This window comes from Homo sapiens, chromosome 3 (assembly GCF_000001405.40).
Source record: "Homo sapiens chromosome 3, GRCh38.p14 Primary Assembly".
NCBI classification, from domain to species: domain Eukaryota; kingdom Metazoa; phylum Chordata; class Mammalia; order Primates; family Hominidae; genus Homo; species Homo sapiens.
The window spans coordinates 56,071,558-56,093,943 of NC_000003.12; the positions used below are offsets into that span (position 1 = coordinate 56,071,558).

General features: G+C 38.0%; 1 protein-coding gene and 1 pseudogene across 21 annotated transcripts in view, besides 1 other annotated feature; one reads left to right on the top strand and one right to left on the bottom strand.

The window, feature by feature from the left end:
• The window catches only part of ERC2 (ELKS/RAB6-interacting/CAST family member 2), a 960,157-nt gene that overhangs the window by 563,247 nt on the left and 374,524 nt on the right, over positions 1-22,386 (bottom strand). For all 21 annotated transcript variants that reach the window (NR_132749.2, XM_017006156.2, XM_047447950.1 and 18 more), the window contains one exon: positions 9,260-9,427. Coding sequence is in view for 20 of the 21 variants with exons in the window: in XM_017006156.2 (XP_016861645.1) it covers positions 9,260-9,427 (168 nt within the window). In the remaining variant the exon portion in view is untranslated. The remainder of the gene's footprint in view (positions 1-9,259; positions 9,428-22,386) is intronic.
• RN7SKP45 (RN7SK pseudogene 45) lies at positions 547-784 on the top strand (annotated as a pseudogene).
• Positions 11,181-11,355: a silencer, noted in NCBI's record as "fragment chr3:56116766-56116940 (GRCh37/hg19 assembly coordinates)". NCBI's record gives its function as "represses an EF-1alpha promoter that drives an FKBP-Casp9 reporter gene in an ReSE screen in HepG2 liver carcinoma cells {active_cell/tissue: HepG2}" and the evidence as "EXISTENCE:reporter gene assay evidence [ECO:0000049][PMID:32094911]".

Consider the following 22,386-nt stretch of genomic DNA (forward strand, 5'->3'; position numbering starts at 1 on the left):
GCCCAAAGGAAGAAAAATGGAGCTATGTGAAGACAGTGCCTGTAGATGCTGAATGAATGGATGAATGAATGGGCAGGCTTCCCTGACTCTCTTTAATTGTTCCATTAGAGGGTAACTTTCCTAGCTTTGGTTCCTTTGATAATAAAATACCATTTCATCAATGTCATCTCTAGGAGAAGGACAATTTCAAATCCCTTAGAAGAAAAGCAATGTATACAAAGGAGGAGGCTACTGAATTTGTTGCTTCACAAAGGAGCTTAGTTTTACCATGGAAGCCACAATCTCTATCCAAGAGACATGAAGCACACACAAAGTGACTTTTGAATATCATTCATTGGAGCAAAATGGACTTCTGACCAACAGTATCGATCAATTGGTTAAAGTCACCAAGATGTTTTTTCCTAAACCATCTCACCAACATTGGGGCAAATAATTCCAGCCAAGTGCAGCAGCCATACACTGTTGGTGATTACTTGCCCTGTGGAATTTAATTAGCACTAGAACCCTTGGCATCACCTTCGCACCATGATGAAGACACACTGTATTGGATGTGAGGGCAATCTGGCTGCAACATCTGTCACCCCATTGATGGCCAGGGTTGATTCGGCTGATCTGGCTGGTAGGCGGGTGTCCCCTTCCTCCCTCACCACTCCATGTGTGTCCCTCCCAAAGCTACATGCTTGGTCAAAGAGGACGACATCCCCAATAGAGGAGGACCGATCTTCAGTCAAGGGCATACGAGTAGCTGTGCTCCCCTGTTAGAACCCCCAAGCAAGCTGTCAAGACACACTGTATTAAAGGATGCAAGAGCAAAGATGCCTATTCTTAGGTCCGGTGACATACTGCTACCCTACCAACACAAAATACATATAAATAACTTTCTGTGTAATATATTAAGTTAGATTTTTGTTATATTTTCCAAACCAGGAAAGACACTGTTCAAAAGAATTTGGCAAATCACAAACACTAACCTGGATTATACTTTTTAATTGCAAATTTTTAGGCACTGTATTAGTTAAATCTACATTCAATCTACATTGAACAGAAAATTTTACCCTATCCCAAATGACTAGATCAAATGTATGAAAAGATATATTTAATGTGAATATAGAAATAAGATTTTCAACCCAAAAGGTTGATAAAATAAAGTGTTTTTATTTTCAGTCAGGAAAAAAAGTCATATTAAAGGTCACTATTTTTCAAATGACTGCAATGCTGGTATTAAGCCAAAGAAATTTAAACTGAGTGTTATCTGCTGGGTGGGCTATCTCTGTTCTGTCTCAATCAGATGCTTTATTCCTATTACATGTTCCCTGTACTACACCTGACTAGCACCCCCCTAACAAATTAGTCGATATCATGATAAGAATAGTCAGATCAGTTTTAATAATTGCAATAATTTTCAGGGTTCAAGAGTGTCATACACACTCACATATATAAGTATAGATTACTATATGTGAAAATTGTTAGACAGAAAGAGTAACAGTCCAAACACCATACACACTCATGTGCACACACACAAACATACACGAGAAATTCAACTCTGTAAGCTGCCTAAAATAATGCCACAGAAAAAGTGCAGGTAAAAATGTTATGCATTTCAACTGAGATAATACTGAAAGGTGGGAGAAAGGTCTGTTATACTAAGTAAAAACTTTTAAGAAATGCTACCTCAAGGCAGGGGGCCTAGAGAACCAAGATCAGTAGTGATCCTTACACAAGAAGGAAAGGACTCCTGTAGACCAGGGCTTCTCTGGATGATTATTTATTGGGGGGCAGAGGTGTCCTCTGCATATTAGGACATTTAGCAGCACCCCTGGAATAGACCCTACCCATGAGATGCTTAGAGCATCCTCCCAGCTATAGCAACCAAAAATATCTCCAGACATTAGCAAATGTTCCCAGGGGAGTAGGGAGGTTCTAAGCCTCTGTTACAGGCCCTGGTTAAGAACCTCTGCCTTAGACCCATGGCCACCCTAGTTGTGATCCCAATCCCTGGGACACCAGGCTAGTTCCTGGCTTCAGATGCAAAGTGAGTTTGCCTACACCAAGGAGGTCAGACCTATGTGAACAGCTCACTGCAAAGTGGAGCAGCTTCCCAGACCGTTTCCACTCTGGACTTGGCAAGGAATGAGGGATCTCCCAACTCAAGAGTTCACCTTCGTCTAGTCCAGGAAAGCTGCTTACATGTCTCAAATCATCTTTTGAGGTCTCAGTCCTTTAAGCCAACAACCAAAGGAAAGGGAAACTACCAACAGAGCAAACACGTCAATCCTTTAAAAATGAAGCAGTAAAACAATCTTAGAATGGTACATAAAGAGCTTCTGGGGGAAGAAAAATTAAACAGATATTGAAAGCCACCACAATCTTTCTTTTTTCTACATATAACTTATCATATTTTTAAATACAGACCTGGTGTTATATTTTATTCATGTAATTCGTTCCCTACTTTTTTAAAATTACATTATTTAGTGGCTGCATCTCTGCTGGTTTTGTCCTAAAAAGAGGGGTTCTTATATATCAACCTCAGGTATGTTGCTCAAATTGTAGTTTAGCTAATCTGTAAAAGTTAATGATCCCACTTGTCTCATGAGGGAAGCAGGATCATAAACTAGGAAAAACACCAGAATAGTGTGGTGGTTAAGAATAGCTCCATCCCTTTCCTGCCACGTCACTCTGAACGAGTTCTTCTCTAAACCATAGTCTCTCATTTTAAAAACCAAGATTATGATAGTGCCTATAAGCCATTAGGTCTGTTACAAGAACGCATAACCTAAGGATGCAAATCATTTAGTGCAGTGTCTGGTATACAGTAAGGGTTCAAGAAATAGTATATAATATAATCATTTTATTATAAAAATAATTATTTGCATGGAAATGCAAATAATTGGAAATGACCACATATAACCAGAAATTTCATTGTATCACTCTCATAAAATATCACCTTCCTAACAATCCAATAAATTAGAAGTGAGAACTAGAGAAGGAAGCATTCTCTTTGCAGAATAAGATGATATTCTCTGTAAATACCACATTTCTTTTTATTAAAAAGGAAAATGAAGGAAGAGTGGCGAAACACCCTTACTCAAACCTTCATCCCTTTTTACCTTCCTAGGGTAATAGAACCAAGGCTGGAGATGTTAGGTGTGGGTACAGCAACAGCCATTTCCTCTTCTGTGTTTTATTATTCGTGGTATGGTTCCATCTTGCAGCCTACACAGAACATACCGTGCTGGGAACAAGAGTGGGCTTGACATTTTGCTGGGGCAAATGACTCTCCTCAGAGCTAACAATATTCTTGGGTGAGAAGTAGATCTCAAAGCAATTTCTCCTCTCCCAAGTTCTCATTCATTGAGAATTTGCTGAGCTCATTTATTCACTCAATGCACATTGATCAAGGAGCATCACATGCCAAGAATTTTGCGAGAAGCTGGAGGTATCTTGATGATTATGGTTGGGGCACTCAAGCCCTGAGAGGAAAGCCAACATTCACCAAAGGGATGCATAATTCCAAACTGAACCAAGAAATAGTTCTCTAAGAGTGTAAAACCTCCCCCAGACTGCAGTGTCAGCAAAGACTTCCCTGAGTGACATAAAAACAGAGCAGAAAGCTCAAGTGTAAAGCTTGGAGTCACATATCCCAGACTCTTATAAAGGCAGGGTCTGATTAGATCCTGCCAATGAGAGTCAGTTGTGTGAAGTTTGGAGCTCTGTCCCAGGACTTTGACTCTTGACTGACAGTGCAATGTGAGGGCAGAGGAAAGAGGGTGAGGGAGAGCAGCCGTCAACAGAAAAGACAGCTGACCAGACACTCCTGGTTATGAAATCAAAGTGGTGTTTGCCTTCTCTTGGTCTCTTAGGGCTGCCCTGGTTCTTGATCATCCCCAATCTGGTTCTACAGACCAGATATTGGGACCCCAGATATTCTTACAAAAAATTCCCTTTTGCTTAAGGTAGCCAGAAGTGGCTTCTGCTGTTTGCATCCATCAAGTGATTTCCTTCTGGTAACGTGCCATATGTTGTTCTCCACTGCACTTATATTTAGGATTATGCATGTCTGTCTCCACAACTAGACTGTCAGTTTCTTGAGGACTGGAGATTGTCTCATTTCTCCCTGAACCTCCAGGACCTACAGTGGTGACTGACTGACACATAGGAAACACTCAGTAAATGTGAAATGAATATGATGTTGCACATGTTCAAAAAATTAGGAGGTTTGCCAATAATAAGTATAAAAGCTCAACTAGATGTTTAAACACTGAGAAAGAGCTCAAGTGAGTCAAAAAGTCCTCCACACTTTACTTCAATTTTACACTAACAGGGAAATCTCTATGTTCTGTATCTATCTTCTCAGGTATTACTATAAAAAAATTTTTTTTTCCAGAAGAAACTCAGTAATCCCACAGTGTCCTTACCCCTGAGGTTATCATCATTCAGAATTTTCACCACCATACTTCCAAATAGGTAAAATCAACCTGCTGAAGTGGAAAGGTCCATATACACCACTCCCAGGAGCCAACTCCATTCACCCCTCTCTACCTTTTCCAACCCACAGGGCAATCCACAAAGTTCAGTAGGCAGCCAGTGGACTTGGCTTCCAGAGAGATCGCCATCTGTTTTTCTACCTTTAATAAATAAAGTACCTCTGCTCTATAAATTCACATTGTTTATGGGACTAAGGCCTAGAAAGAAAATGGAGATAGAATTTTTGTCCAATTTTAATGGGTTTAAAAAAATTCGTGGGTAGCAAGTTTATGCTGTAAGAATCTATGTGTTACATAACAGTCTGAATTTGATCGGGTTCAAATAATGCTACCATGTCCTAAAATCCTGGGCATTATACACTTTCCAAATGTACAATGTCATCAGGTTTTATGACATTTCCTACAAAAACTCAATAGTCAGGTAGCACTTCATCAGTTACAGTTTAAATTCAGGTATGGGAACAGAAAACTATGGCTGCAGCATGGAAACCATACCGCTCTTCTGATTTCAATGTCACAGCCCCACGGGAACATTTCACTAAACACTTTTCATACATGTGCATTTTTGTCCCCTGCTAAGAGAACTCCATGTCTTGGAATTACAGAGTACAGCCAAAAGTATGTTAGTAGGGCCAAAAATCCACTCTAGATGATCTCTGTCTTCCCACAAAAGCTTCATCAGAGATGCTCCTCCACCTGGGGTTTTCTGTTTATTCAGCCTCACTTCCTTCTTCAAGTGATGAAATGCTTAGAGCATCATGTCCATGCCTGTCTACATGGCTTATGGAGCACACAAGACTTCTGAGACTCAGAGCTCTGAAGGCAAAGCTGACAGATATGAAATGCAAGCCTAGCTTTGCCAGGGTAAACGTGGCCAGGAAAGGAGCATACCTAGTTCTACTGGCATCAAAACAGGGTTGCGAAAGAGTCTATGAGAAAGAAATATTAAGTAATACTGCATGTCTGACATTGACATGAGCTTATTATTCTTCCATGCCAACACACCCTAATCCAAAGCTTATGCTATTCCAATCCAAGCCTGCCCTAAAACAGCCAATTATGCTGAATGCAGTCTAAGCTCCAAGGAGTCTCCAGACTTAAAGACAATGTTTCATTGGCCCATTCGTTTTTGTATTATTTCTACATTTTGAGTCAGCTTCTAAATCATATGCATCACTTCTCTAGGGATTATTTCCCTTTCACATTGCAGGTATAATAGAGCTCCTGTGGCTTTGCTACATTGCCAGTGGTTTTATTTCCTTCCCAAATGTATTGGTAAACTTGGTTTAAAAACCTGAAGCTGAGCAACCTCTCCAAATAAACATGAAACATTTCCAAACCCATTATCTACATGACTTCAACAAGTGATATCATAATCATGTTGCCGAAAGGAGCCATAATATACAACTGGTTTTGTTCTAGAACTTCCAAACTGGTTCCCAAACTTTTGAGTCTGGCTGTGGAGGGAAGTTTAAAATTCTGCAAAACATTTGCATTGGCAAAAGTGGTCATTTGTCACTTATGCATTGGAAGTGCCATCCCAAAATATTCACTGAGAAAACTGTTGTCATTTATTCCTCAAGAATGAGCGCACTTAGTCTCAACTTCTGACAAAATGAACAAGTGTGATATTTTTCCCTAATTCACTCTCACACCTGGTGTCATCATCCTAAAAAGTGAAATTAAAAAAAGGCTTATTCTCTTAATTTACATTAATTATTTTATTATATATTCCTAAAGACAAAAAACACTTTTATCTAGGCTATGTGATCTTGGGCAAGCTTACCATAAGCCTCAATATTCCACAATTCCTTAGATTAATAATTGTGCCCATCTCACTAGGTAGTGGTCAAAAGTAAGTAAACAGTGCATGTAACAAGCACTATTTACATGAGTAAACAGAGTAGTCAGCATACAGTGTTCCATATAAGCAAGTTCAATAAATGTAAGCTTTTGTTATTATTTGCAGCCGGAGATTTTAAATGAAAAATCTTCTTCTGAATCCTTAGAACATGCTCCAAGACAGGCTACTATAACCATCTCTCTGTTATTCCCACGTATCCTAGACAGCCCCTTTGATTCAAGGGTCCTTAGTAATCTCTCCTGAGCTCTCTTCTAAATTTCTGTGTCAATTAGCTAGTGCTACAAGAGGAAGAGGATCCAATGACCAGGACCTTGTCCATGAAGAGCTCTACAGAAATGAATTAATAATATGATTCATCAAATCACCAATATCCTGAGAGTTTCTAACGAATGCAGTGTCTCTACTTTTAACTCTTTGGTAAAGCCTCTATAATTTGGTTTGAATCTAACTTTGTTTTTAAAATGTGACAGACTCTATTCTGTACATGAATGTACCATTTAGGCTCTGGCTGACCATAACAGAACAGGAAGAGACTCACTGGCTCTCAGAGTTTAAGAAAGATTACAGAACTCACTTATGAAAAGACAAAATCATGGGGAATATCCTAATAGATATTAGAATGCATTGATAATCTAATCACAGCCTCTGCACCGAAACAAATGAATGCCAGCTACTGTTGTCATCTTTGCATAGCTCGGTCCTTGAATCAAATTCACAAGAACAAGTGCTCCTGGCAGTAGGGGGTGAGCATGTAACATAACCTTGGCCAATCAAATGCTCCTACCCAAGACTTTAACTCTGGAGCAAGTTCATTTATCCATTCATTCAACAAATATTTATTAAGCATTTAGTATCTTTTGGGTACTAAACATACGGGGGAAAAGTCTGCCTTTTTGGAATTTACATTCTAGTAATATGAATGAACAATATATATATTTAAATATATATTTATTTATATTATATAAATTTTAAAAATACATATACACACAAAAACACATTTGTCAAATGGTTAAAAGTTCTAATTAAAAAAATAAAACTGGATGAGAGAAGACAGAGGGCAGGAATGTGGGTGGTCATGCAATTTTATGCAGGATGGACAAAAAAGGCCTGTAACAAAGCACTATTTGAACAGAGACCTGAAAGAAGCAAAGGCATGAGCCATGTGGCTATTTCGAGCAGTTCTGTCAATAGGAACATAATGTGAGTCACACAGGTAATTTTAAGCTTTCTAGTAATTACATTAAAAAAAGTAAAAAGAAACAAGTGAAATTCATTTTCATTTACCTGATATGTCCAAAATATTTTCATTTCACCATATAATCAAACTAAAAATTGATTCACGAAAGCGCTTCCATTTTTTTCATAATAAGTCTTCCAGATCTGATGTGCACTTCACACTTAAAGCACACCTCAGTCAAGGCCTTAATCGCTACAAGTGGCTCGTGACTACCACAATGGGCAGCACGGGTTCAGAATGAGAATGTCCCCATAAAAGCTACAGTAAATGTCAGGTACCAAGACAGCATGCCTCATGTGTCTGCAGAAGAACACAAAGGCCACAGTGACTGATGTAGTCTGAGCAAAGGGGAAGGCAGTGAGACAGGAGGCCAGACTGGCCAGAGGGAGCCCAATCCTGCAGGGTGTCCTGGGCCTTCCACTGTTACTCTGAGTGACAATGGAAGCCAATGGAGGTGGGGACAGCTCCATGGACCTCTGACCTGTGCAGCTGCACAGGTCCCTATGCTTGGTTTAAGGCTCTACGGTTACCATCCTGAAATTCTCAATTTTGGGACAGGGGTGTCATGTTTACATTATGCAATGGACCCCCAAAATTATGTAATTGGTTGTGACTGGAGAGTTTTTATCAGAGAGTGACATGAACCGTTTTATGCATTATGAGGATTAATCCAGTTTCTGTGTTAAGAATAGGCTGTAGGAAACATGACAAGAAAAACATCTGGAATGCTGTAGATCAACGCCAGGTGAGAAATGATGATAGCAGGTGACACCAAGAACAGGGGACAGTTAGTTCCATTTGCTGCAGCAGAGCACCTGACAACATGCCTGTGGATGGCAGCATCCAGGTCAGAGGCTCCTGCGGCCCACCATTGATTTCCACCTAATTTCCTCTCTGGCCCCCTGTTCATCTGTGAGCCTTGTATCTTCCCAACACATTTTATTTTTTTTGTAAAAGAGCAGCCATTGGTTTCTCTTCACACCCACCCTTTTACTAAGAGAAGGCAGGATACTCAATGGCCCCACTAAAACTATATACAGTAGCAAACAGAAATTCTCCAAAAGAAAATCGGGAATGCTATCACAAAATCAGGGTCCCCTATAAGGGAGAAATCGAGCTGCTAAAGGAAGGAAGGAAGAGCCCTAACAAGGTCAAGCATCTTCTGTGTTGCATCACTGTGGCTGGGAATTATTATACATTCTTTCCATTGATTTCAATTAAGTAATGGGTATAAAACATTACCCCTGCCTCCCAAAAATCTATATGGGCTTCACAGAATAGGATCTACTACAGTTTATGTGACTATCAAATGTATCTAAAATACATTCAGGACCCACAAATACATTGCTAACTCTCAGGAAGAAAAAATTAACTTTTGGGACCTTTGGTTATTTTAGATTTGTATCTAAATTTGTACAATTCTCTCTATGTTTAAGCTGCTGAATAAAAAATTATCATCACTATTTAGTTTCTAGGTAATCAAATAGAAAATTCATCAAGCAACGCTAATATTGACATGATGCAACTACCAGTAAGTGAAACACCAGTATGAAAATCAGCCTATTCTTCCTAAAGATTCGTAAAAGATCACTTATTTTCCATGTGCTCAAAATTTTTCTAAAATGACAAAACATGGATGATACCCCACTTGAAGGTCTTATGTCAGCTACTCACCTTTTTCTGAAGAACATTGATTTTTCTTTCCTTCACTTCTAACATATCTTTCATGTCACGAATTTCACCGGCCAGTGTCCCCTTCTCTTCTGTGAGGTCCTGTAGCTGTTTTGTTTTTTTATTGAGGAAAGATTCTTTTTCTTCCAGTCGTAATCTCAGCGCATCTACCTGAAATCAGGAAAAAGACAGAAGGTTGTGGTTTTACAGAAAGGTCATCAATAACCATCAATTGTGCCCTTTGAGGAGGCAGGGCAGCAGCATGTTTACTGAGCAAGGCACAATGGAACCACTGCTCATGGCACCTCACTGCCCTGCATTTTAACAGCCTACATCCTTCTTAAAGCCCTATTGTGTGCACATCTCAATAGTGATACTTTAAAAAAAAAATAAGACTTCTTTGAAATAAGACATTATGAAATAGTAGTAGGTTTCCATGTTTGTTTCCCTACTACAACATGTTTGTCTAAGCTTGGAAACAAAGCACATCAATACTCCCATGTCTCTCTGAGAGTCCAGGGAGGATAAAATACTGCTCAAGCTTTGCAGCATCGTCCTGAAATACGGAGAACACAATGAGCCATGCCATGGACATCCAGAGGAACAAGATTGACATGTAGAGAAACACTCCTAAATTAGAAAAATACATGTTGCCAAGAGGACACTCATGCTGCTGGAGGAAGAAAATAAGATAGAAATGAAACACCCATGCTCCAGCCTCATGAGACTGCTTTCCAAATACTTTTAAAGAAAAAAAAAGAAAAAGACAAAGCATACAAAAAAAAATTCCTCCTTGTAACTCAGCTCTAAAATTTAAAAAAAATATAATTCCTGCTTTCAAATGTTGTTAATAAAAAAGAAAATATAAGTTTTTTTTTTAATTTAACATTCTGAAGCCCATGTGCAAAGAAAGGTCTATTTCTAGACTACTCAGATTAGATCATAGAAAAATATCACTGGGGTGGTAAAAAAGAAATGAGACAACAAAAAGAATATGAAGACCATCAGAATACCATTTTGAGTTAATTTTCTGTAGCATTTTTAAATTGTACTTTTTTGATATACAACACCATATTTGCAACCATGTTTATAAATGTACACTAATCCAGTCTTAAAATGCAACTGTGACAAACACTTTATTTGAAGGATTATTGTCCTTAATTATCGACAATGACAGACTATGAGATTTCCAAGAGTCTTGTTCTCAGCTAAACAATGACATTCAATAAGTTACTCCCAAAGCATTTACTTTTTTTATTGGATATATATATTAAAAAGATTAGGACCCTTTGCCACAATTATCTTGCTGCCACTTCAGCAGATACTACTGTTATGGTCTGAATGTGTTGCTCAAAATTCATAAATTGAAATCAAATCCCCAATACAATAATATTAAAAGGTGGGGCCTTTAGGAGGTGATTAGGTCATGAGGGCAAAGTGCCTCATGAATGGGACTAATTGCTACATAAAAGAAGCCCAAAGGAATTCATTCACCCCTTCCACCATGTGAGAACACAGCACGATGGCACCATATATGAAGCATTGATTGATCTCTCATCAGACAAGAAATCTGCTGATGCCTTGATCTTGGACTTTCCAGCCTCTGTAACTGTAAGACATAAATTTCTGTTGTTTATAAGCCACCCAGTCTCGGTGCTTTGTTCTAGCAGCCTGAATGAACTAAGACAACCACCATGATTTATTTTTTCTGGATCATTAAAGACACCTTAACACTTGATTGTATGTCAAAGCCAGGGTTAGAACAATCCAGGAACTAACTCTTCAAGGATCAGTCCTGATCCCTTTGGCAAAGGATGTATGAAGTAACTCTTTGTCAGTCCCCTTGATGTGGGAAAGGAATATGTTATGTTTACTACAACAAATCAAAATTAAATAAGATCATATGGAACAGGGGTCCCCAACCCTTGGACCAGTTCCGGTCCAGGGCCTGTTAGGAACCAGGCCACCCAGCAGGAGGTGAGTGTCGGTCAAGCATTACCACTTGAGCTCCACCTCCTGCCAGATCAGCAGTGACACTAGATTTTCATAGAATCTAATGAACCTAGATCCCTCACATGTGCAGTTCACAATGGGGTTCACTCTCCTATGACAGTCTAATGCCTGATGATCTGAGGTGGAACAATTTCATTCCTAAACCATCCCCCACACCCCACACCTCTTCGTCTGTGGAAAAACTGTCTTCCACAAAACTGGTCGCTGGTGCCAAAAAGGTTGGGGACTGCTGATATAGAAAGTGTAAAAGACATGTCCACAAAATGATTTTCATAGAGATGCCCACAGCAACATTGTTCATAATGGATCACACAGGAAACAACACAAATGTCTATCAGTAAATGAATGGATAAATAAAATGGTGGTGTTTTTATATGGAATATTATCTATCCATAAAAAGGAGTGACCTGCAGATATACATAATAACATAGGTGAATCTCAAAAGCACCCCGAGTGAAAGAATCTAGAGGATTTATGGCATGACTGTGTTTCCATTTCTGTGAAATTCTAAAAGAGGTGAAAATAATCTATGAGGTTACAGAAATGAGAGCAACAGTTGCCTGGGGTGGAAGCTGGGAAGGGCTGATTATAAAGGGACAGGAGGGTGTTTTTCTGTTCTCTAAATTGATTAGGGAGAGTGGAGAACAGTTACCTGGTGTACAAAATTGTCAAAACTCATTGAACTGTACATTTTAATAATTTATACTTTGATATAATTATAATTTATATTTCAATAAATTTGAAAAATATATGAATACATAACTAAGAATTAACAAATATCTTACAACAATGTCTTTCATGAAAGAGAGAGGTCAAAACAAAACAAAACACCAACCTGGGAACTAAATTACCTTATAACACAACTGGGAGAATGAAGTGGGGGTTGGATAAGGTTCCCATGGGTGATGAGGTATTGAGGTGATGAGGTATTGGGGTGATGGAAGGACTTAATCTTCACCCTCCATAGCAGGAAGTCAACAGATAGTAGCTATACCAGCAATCAGGAAGTAGAGAAGCAAGTAGGTTATTTAGAGATATCAAAATAACCGAACAAGAAGAGTTAAAAGGGTTTGTCTTAGGGAAAAAAAAAATGGAACAGGGGAAGTAAAGGATTGCTGCATCTCATAACAAAAATTTTCAAACATTTTGCTTCCTTATCCTATAGGCAAGTAAAATTTGAATGGAAAGAAAAAAAAAGAATAAAGAAATCAAAAACAAAAATGATACAAGAATGCCATAAGAAACCAATAGAAGATATACAAATACCCAAAAAACATATGAAAAATGCTCAACATCACTAATCATCAGGGAAATGCAAATCAAAACTACAGTGAGAATACCACCTTATCCCAACCAGAATAGCTATTCTTAAAAAGTCAAAAAACAATAGATGTTGGCTTGGATGTGGTGGAAAGGAAATGCTTATACACTGCTGGTGGGAATGTAAATTAGTAAAACCTCTACGGAAAACAACATGGAGATTTCTCAAATAACTAAAAGTCAATCTACTATTCCATCCCACTACTGGGTATCTACCCAAAAGGAAAGAAGTCATTGCATCAAAAAGATACCTGTATGTGTATGTTTATCACAGCACAATTCACATTTGCAAATATATGGAATCAACCTATGTGCCTGTCAAAGAATAAGTAGATAAGAGTAGATAAAGTATGATAACAAATAAGATATATATATGATAAGAATGAAATAATGTCTTCTGCAGCAACCTGGATGGAACTTCACTTAGGCCATCATTCTAAGTGAAGTAACTCAGGAATGGAAAACCAAATACTGCATGTTCTCACTTCTAAGTGGGAACTAAGTTCTGGATACACAGATGCATGTGAAGTCGTATAATGGACATTGGAGACTTAGAAGCAGGAAGGGTGTGAGGAGGATGAGGAATAAAAAACTACCTACTGGGTGCAAGGTACACTACTCAGGTGATGCGTACACTGAAATCCCAGACTTCACCACTATACGATTTACTCATGTAACCAAAAACTACCTATACCCCTAAAGATACTGAAATTTAAAAATTAAAAAAAAAAAAAAAGAAAAGTTCAGGGCAGCAGAGGGTGGCATTTAAAAGAAAAAAAAAGTCAATAGGAACAATAGAAAGAGGACACTTAGGTTTTTAGGACTGGTTCTGCTTTTAACTGCCTGAGAGGATCAGGACAGATAACTCTCATTTCCCCTCCCCAGCCTTTCAGCCTCAGTTTCTCCATCTATAAAACCAAGAGGTGTGAACAGATCATATCTGACATCTTAGGATTTTTAAAGGCAGGAATCCGTTTTTGGTAGAATGCGTCAGGGAAGGATGATGATATTAGCGATAAAGAAAAATTATTGGAGTAGAATATCCTTTTCTTGCTCCTTGCCAAGAAAGGGGTACCTAAGTTGTGTTTCTAAAGGTCAAAGGTGACAGGGAAGTTGGGGGAGTAGAGAGTTTTTCCAGTTTCTGCTCCAGTGAGAAGGATGAAGCTGGGAGGTCCCCGTAGGGGAAGGGTTGGTCACAGATGTGTGGAGCCCCCAAGCCCTAATGGCCCTGACTGCATTACAAGAGAGAGTGGACATTCTGTGACTGGGGAGGAGAACGGCAGATTCTTCAAATAGCTGATAGCTGTGCCCCTTCTCACATAATAGCCAGAAAGATACAGGGCCTGGAAAGGTGGAGGGATACTCACGTCCTGGGGATCTTCCTCTTCCTAAATGAAAATTCATGACAGGTGCACTAAAGATGATGCCCTACAGATGGGCCACAGATTCTCATGTGGCCCATTTTTGTTTAAAGTTACCTTCATCTACCAGCCTGGCATAAAACCACTCTTCTCTGTAGGTTTTCATTATATCTGGTGAAAAAATATGATTTTTGAGTTTATGCACAAATATAGGTATTTGGTGGATTACTGGAATATTGGCAGAACATGCTGAACACTCTGGATTATAGCAGTGGTTATAAAGGGGTTACAATCAATTGTAGATATTTGCACATGGGCTTACTAGGACTCAGTGTGATTCTGAGAAGAAACACATGACTGAGGTCCCATTTGCCCTGCATCCTACCTATCAAAGCTGGATGGTCTATATCTGGACTAAAGGAAATGCCTAATATCCAAACTGTGATATAAATAAATTACAATATGGGAGGTAGTGAGTGGTGCTGGAGAGAGTTTAGAAAAAGACACTCTGTAATCATGAGAGAGAGAGTCAAGGGCTCTTAAAATTATTTGGTGTTGAGTGAAGAGGCAGAGAAAAATATTCCATATACCCAAACATTTTAACTTTTATGTCTCTACCTGATGTTGGAATGTAATCTAGACTTTAAGGCTTAACATTTATAGCACCTTCTCGCCATGTGTGATCTATCAGTGCCCTGTCGCATCTTCCCAAGCCCAGAAGAGATAAAAAACAACCCTAGCCATGAGAATATTTCTCCAGAAACAAAATGGAGAGCGAGGATGGTTGTGATCAGCACGTTACTCAAACACCCAAATTCAACATGGCAGGAGGGAGCCTGTGCCAGCTGAGGTCTTCTGTTTGGGGGGTTTATTTTCCATGCACTGGAAAGTGTGTACTTAACTTCAAAGGAATTTGGGTCGTGCCTTTCAATCACCTTCACTCTGTCTTTAAAGTTTTGCACTAGAAATGGGCTTCAGGGTCTTCTTTTTTTTTTTTTTTAAGATGAAACTTTGACATGAACCACAGGCAATTCACAAGCAACATTAGCCCAGTGTGCAGTAAGCAAGTATGACATCATCTCTAAAACCAAATATGAACTTCCACATGGTGCAAAACCACAAGCAGGCACACAAGCCTTTGGATGCACCAAAGTTTAAATACAGGGAAGATAAGGCAAGAAAAAATGCATTCTATTAAAAATTAGAATATCTAGTTCCAAATTAGGTATCAATGACTGAAATTAAAGTTCCCCTCACTAATATTCTGACTCCACTCAACAGAGTACATCACTTAAAACAGAATCAGAAAAGCCTGAAGTCTAGATTATACTCCAACATCAGGTAGAGACATAAAGTTAAAATGTTTAGGTATATGGAATACCTTTCTCTGCCTCTTCACTCAACACCAAATAATTTTAAGGGCCCTTGACTCTCTCTCTTAAACTTTGGCAGTTGACTCAATAATAAAACTTGGCAAAGCAAAGAGCACCATCATTTCCCAGAAAAACAAAAGAAAATTAGAACTGTATGATATAGTCCATGCACAAAGACCCAGAAGGTTGAATTTCCAATTTTTACATATGACTTAACCACATGGGAACTAGTCATCTAATGTTAAAACTAGGACAATCTTTCCATTTTAGGAGAATTGCTCATTTCCTTTTGATCCATTTGTGTGTGTGTGTGTGTGTGTGTGTGTGTGTGTGTGTGTAAGAGCATGTGACATATGAAAATTTAACCTTTTATCTGGCAGTATAAAACATAAAACATTTGTTTTCACTTCAGTTCCAGGTAATAACTTGAAAGAAAAGAACCATGGCAATGAAATTGGCAAAACGTTGCCAAAATCAGAGTTAAGCATTATTAATCTTCATGTCAGCACCCAGGAATTATAACCAGTTCCAATGGTGAGGTATGTTTCCAGAAGTTCTATACATAAGACACTCGACCTTTCTGCCGTATTTTATGTGCGCCTTCAGAAACGGTTTCAATGTTGTGACAAAACACTAAGTGCTACTTGATGTGCCATAAATAATTTCTAAAAATCAAACAGTTCATTTCAATCTTAAAATGACTACTGCAACACTTGAGAGAAAAAAACACCTGAGGGAGAAAAAGGGGCCACTTGAAAATTTTCACAGATTAAATACTACTTGCTTGACAACGCTTCAAGAATTGAATAAACAGGCTATCACAAAGAAAAACTTTAAAAGAAAATGAAACTGGAACACTCACAAAAGCTCCCAATATAGTTTTATTTCACATTCAAAGCTTCATTTGTTTGTTTTTCCTAATCGTAGACTTGAGTTAAGGGTATATTTGAATTTGATTCAACCTGCAATCATTCAAACAGGAGACAGTTTCAAAGTTGGAAGTACGCATAATGTACACAGTCTCCAAAGACACAAACACTAAAAATAACCTAAAATCTAAAACTTGCTTGGTAGTAACGACTAGTTCTCACTCACATCCAACTCTCCTTTCCTCCTGAAAACAGGAAAGATCACACTTCTCAGGCGCCTTTTGGGAAGATGAAACGCTGTGTTTTCTTCAGGAAATGTAAGCAGAAGTGAGGTACATCACTTCCTGTCTGTTCCATACCACACTCCTTTTCTTCCTCAGAGATCGTAGAGGCTACACTTTCCAGATGGTGGAGATACAAGATGGCAGAACCTTCCTAAGTCTGGATCCTCAAGTGACTGTGAGAAACAGGTTCTCCCCCAAGTCCTCAATCCTTAAAACGGGTTGGACTTACAGTATGATGGGTTAAATAGCTTAGAAATTATTACAATAAACTCGTATGATTTTGCTGCAAAATAGGCACCTTAAAACTAAAACTGTTTTTTTTGTCTTAGAGATTGTCATGAATCTAAAGAATTAGGGCTATGGTACTTCCTTTCACTCTTTCTATATATAGGACCTTCAACTTCCCTTCTCCTTTCATCCCAAATCCAAAGAAGGGGGAAAAAATGACAGAGGGCCAAAGACAGAGCTAAGAGGAAGAAGCAGTAGAACCTTGGGGGAGTAGACACGGGGGTTAAAGATCAAAGCCTTGGGAAAAAGAGAGAAAGACAGACTGAAGAGGAAAGATCCCCTTAAGCTCATCAACTTGAGTTTCAGTTTGGATAGACAAGCGGCTCAGGTGGGTATGTTTTGCAACATCCTCTGCAATGCAAATATATATGTTCAACTAACTCATAACAATGGCCTTTCAAATGTCATGAACATTTCTAAGGTATTACAAGGAAAATGGAGATAATAACAGTACGTCCTTCATTGAGTTATTTTGAGTATTAAATTAAATAACACATGTAAAGCACTTAGCATGGTACCTGGCACTTAGAAACCCTCAATAAATTTTTGCTATTGTTATTATACTTTATTATTCTACTTTTCACAGCCTCTAATTCAGTGATTTATATACCGCAGGAATGCAATAAAGGTTGCTGATCAACAGCAGCCCTCAGGAAGAGTGGAGAACCAGCAAATAAGGTTTTGTGCTCTAACATGTACTGAGGCGTTATATTGTTTGACATTTACTTAAAAATATTTCAGCATACACTCTATGGTATGTGTGCAGTGTGGAGGGTTGTGTGGGTGGGTGGACAGATGGGTGTATTACCCAACTGGGAATAAGTCCTCCAGAGTTAGTTAATTAGCTATGAAAGACTTTAATTAAAAGCTAACATTCCAGAGTCAGCTACCAAAAATACCTCAGTATTCTTTATATTTGATGGACAACTGAAAATTGTCAATTAACATAATTTATGTGAGGAGTGATTTCTCCCTGGTGAAGTGAATGGTATTTGAGATCTGTGCAGTGGCTAGAAATGTTGCACAGGCATGTCCAGTCTTCCAAGAGCAAGGTTTAAGACTGTGTGTCCAAAATAATTAGATGCAAGCCACATTTGTACTTTTACATTTTTTAATAGCCCCATTTAAAAAGTAAAAAGAAACATTGAAATTAATTTTAATAAAATATTTAATCTATTATATCTAAAATATTATTACTCAACCTGTAATCAATATGAAAAATATTGAGATACTCTACATTTTTTGTATTGTCTTCAAAATCTAGCTTTTTTTTAATACTTTTAGCACATCTCAATGAGGATTAGCCATATTTCAGGTGCTCAATAGCCATATGTGGCTCATGGCTACCATATTGGACAGTGAAGGTCTATGACTCCTGTAAGCCCAAAAGCTTCAACCCTTGGAATGGAATCCTACCTAGGCTTAGAATTTCAATCTCCCTTGCATATTGATGATTCAGGGAGGATTCTGGCCCAACAGCAAACAGACGGTTGGCTGAGCCCTGTCACAAGACATAGCATCACACTGACTTAGAGAGAAGCTTTCATGGACATGAAGCTTCCAGAAAAACAGAGAGCTGAAACTTCAAGGAGTGCTCAGGGAAGTTGTACAGCTGTGATGTACTACATAGAGGCCAGGTGGTGGGGCAGGAGTACTGCCTTCTTCCCTTCTCTAACCATCAGGGGCTACTGACCTCTACAAAAGAAAATTTTTGACGAATAATCATCAATGACCTTGATGGCTGGTAATTCAGCTAGCATGAATCTTTCTGGATTCTTGATGAAATAAGAACTCAGAATAATCACTGCTTTCAAAAACTCTTTCACGTCAATCTCTAATTATAGCAAAAGTTGCCTTTCAGAAAAAAATGTCCTTCAGCAGCTGCATCATCAAAAACTGGCTCTACGGATGAGGGTGTGCCCATCTCTTACCCTATGCTTGGTTACATCCTCCTGCTCTTTAACTTCTGCAGCTATTTTAATTTCAGATTTCTCTCCTGTCTGTAGTTAACCTTTTTATAAGCAGTAACCAGAATCACTTCTTCATTCATTCAATAAATATGAAGAATCAATTTTGTGCCAGGCAACATTCTAGTGTTAGGGATATAGCCTTTTAACAAGACAGTCAGGTTTGTGATTTATTGAAACATACGGTTGTAAGGTTGGAGGTAGTGGAGGTAGAACAAATAAGTATTATGTCAATATCATTTAATAAATACAAGTTTTAGCATAAGAGTGGAGTAAAACAGATATAAACTCTAAGAACTTAAATACTTAAATAAAAGCCTTGTAATACTAAATTCAAATTGGAAATATTATGAATACATGATATATTTTCATATTTTCTTTTTTTTTTTTTTAGATCTGGGTTTGTTACGTAATGGTGAGGTTTGGGTCTTCTAGAGTACGCATCACCCAAATAGTGAACATTGTGCCCGATAGGTGATTTTTCAATGCTCCCTGGCTCCCCCTACCCTTCCTCTTTTTTTTATTTCTAGCTTTGTCCACTGTAGACCTAGAAAAAAAACTGACCACCTAAGTAGCGATGAGAACCCACCCCAGGTGCCCAAATTGTGATCTCTAAACCATTTTTCACTAAAACAAATCTACTTTCATTGTAGAAATGATTGATTTTAGGTCTAAGGCAGGATGTGCAGGTGAGTTCAGAATGCCTTGTTGAACCAGAAAGCAAGGAAGTTATTAAAGACCAATAGAGTCTTGCTATTGGTCAAGGATGGGACAATTTGATGCACTTTTTCTTTAAAATTCGCTCTGGGTGTTCTATGGAAAACAGGCACTAGGGGACAGGAATGGAGGCCGGGGACAGGTGAGGAGCTGCTGCAATGAGCCAGAAGGGAGAAAGTGGCTGTCACAACTAGGATGGAGGTGGTGGAGAGGGGGCACGTGGCTGTGTTTGTGATGCATTTTGAGATACAGAAGACAGCTGGCAGAACTGAGGATTTGTATGTGTAGGGATGAAAGGAAGGAAGATATCAAAGAAGACTCCTGGGTTGCTAGCTGGAAAAACTCAGTAGATAGTGGAATTATTGCCTGTGATGTGGAAGACTGGGGAGAACTGGACTTGAGGAAAGGAAATCAAGAGTTTAGGATTAGGCATATATAGTTTGAGATGGCTAGGAAACATATGAAAAGCAAATGGCTATATGATTTGGAAGCTCCCAACACAACAGAAGCTGGACTGGAGTCTGATCTACATGTGGATGGGCAGTCCTGTAATTACATCAACATTTCCCCTAATGACCAGGTAGGACACCTTCTGCACATTTACAGATTCACTCCTGTTTCGATGCAGCTCTCTGAGACCAAATTAACAAAAATGTGTAAGGAGAGGACATCGACATTGTTGAAAACTGAGAGAAATCCCCTTCCTAAAAGGGCCCCTGCTTTTAGGTCTTTTGCTATAAGGTCTCTTCCTCTCATAGTCATGGATAACAAGAGATTTGGTCATCTCAATTGAGCCTTTGGCCTTTCAAGGCGTCTAGTTAATGTCAATGATGTATTTATCCTCCTGTTGATGTCTACAGTCAGTAGAGTAATACTGAATCAGAGATAAAGGACTATATAATCCCACTTCTGTGTGCTGACTTCATTTAGCAGTCAAAAATTTACACACTTGACAAGAGAAAAAAAACCTATATTATATTTAAAAACATTTAGATAGCACAAAGAAAAACAATAATGATTGTATAATAAAGTGCTTCATAATTTACAGTACATGTTTCTCTTAGGTTGTCTGTTCTCATACAATTTGAATTCAAAAAATAGAATTCAGGGATATTTAGTATCATATAACCACATATATCATTTAAGCTGTGCTTATAAAAGTTAAGTTACAATCACCAACTTGTTAATAACACAGTCGAGATTTTCAGGTTGTAAAAATGTGTTTGTCATGCCTACCTGTCAAAAAATTATACCCAAGTCCCACATGCCACCTACTTGAAGAAAACAATGCTGGGTTGAGAGTGCTTTGTATCACCTACATGGGAGAATTCATATCACATGTGAGTTAATAATTCAGCCAACTTTATAAACCTGTTTTCATACTTAAGTTTTTGGCTACTTCTTACACTAAAATTAGGTGGTTTTAAGTGACTAGTCCAAAGTTCAAAATTTAATGCTCAGTTCAGTTCCAGCAAATTTCTGAAAACACATGGGAATTGTAACTCATGTGTTAATACTTAAAGTTTTCGTTAATAAAACTTCCAACACTAACCTTACCTCATTGAACTTACCTCACTGATTTTTATGCTCACTATAAAACTATAGCTGTCATAATATTTTTGAATTACTACAAAAGGAAGTAAGCCATTCCAAAGTCAATGTTATTTTGCAACATGATGATAGTTATAAATTCAAAATACTTAAAACCAATTTGCAAAGCTATCAATCTTAGTACCTCCTAACATTTATAAAGCCCATCTTCAAAACATTTGCTATTACGGAAAAAAACAAGTTTAAGAAAATACCATGTGTCATTCATATTGTGCTTTCCCTTCAGGTAAGCACATTAAATGTAAGCACGAAATTGTGTTTTAACATAAAATTTTAAAATATTGATCCCGCTTAGATATGCCATGAATTTTCTAAACTATCACTGAAGCTCCAGAACTTAAATCACAGATAATTTAGTACTAAGTAATAATTTTGTGATCTTTAGGTCAGTGCTTTTTAACAAATCCAAACAAATAACCTCCAATGAGATATGCCTAAAGTATTTGTAAATGACTAACAAATTAGGCACTGTATTTGTTAGGGTTAAACCCATGTTTTAGAGTCGTGTCTCTCAAATACTCCTGGAGGATGGGGACTTGTGTTTAAGGATCCAGAAGTTTGCTATAAGAGCGTTCTTATGTTGTCTGTTCTTTTCTATGTCATCTTTTCTTTTCTATGATTATCTCAAAAGTTAAAATGAATTTATCCTGGATCATGTAAATAACTCTTATAAATCTGGATCAGGTAAATCTCTCCTTGCTAATAGATTTCAATATAGCCTTTGTGTTTGCACTTAAGATTGCTTTGGAGTGAAATGGAAAAAAGCACAGAACTTCTTGTTTCTATGATACATTCCCTCCAAGTCTCAACCACAGGACATCATGCTAACCATGAAAACCAGGGGTTCATCAGCACTATAAATAAAAACAGCAATCAGCGAGGAAACTGGATCTTCACACAACATACCACTAGTTCAGGCCTCCTGAACTAGCACCTCAGCCATACCAGTTTGTACCACATTCATATCAGTGTAAATTCATGCGTGGAAAACACTATCCTTCTCCATATTAAATTAATATCATTAATTTAGATTTTATTAACTTTGACATTGTATTTTCATTTAGTACATAATCTTGATTTGGCTGCATAGTTCTATAAGAGCTATAAACATGCTTAATCTTATGTTTGTCACTAATTAAGTAAAGTAGTAATTATTACATAAAACAATACTAGGTGTCTACAAGGTTGTTTATTTGAAAAAAAGAAGAAGAAATGTTTTCTCAACTGTGAAAAATACTACTCTAAAATAAACAGTATTTGTTCTTTGAAACTTTTCTGAGTGTTGTGCAAAAGTTAAGTAGGGGTGTGGAAGCAGGGTGTGTGCCAT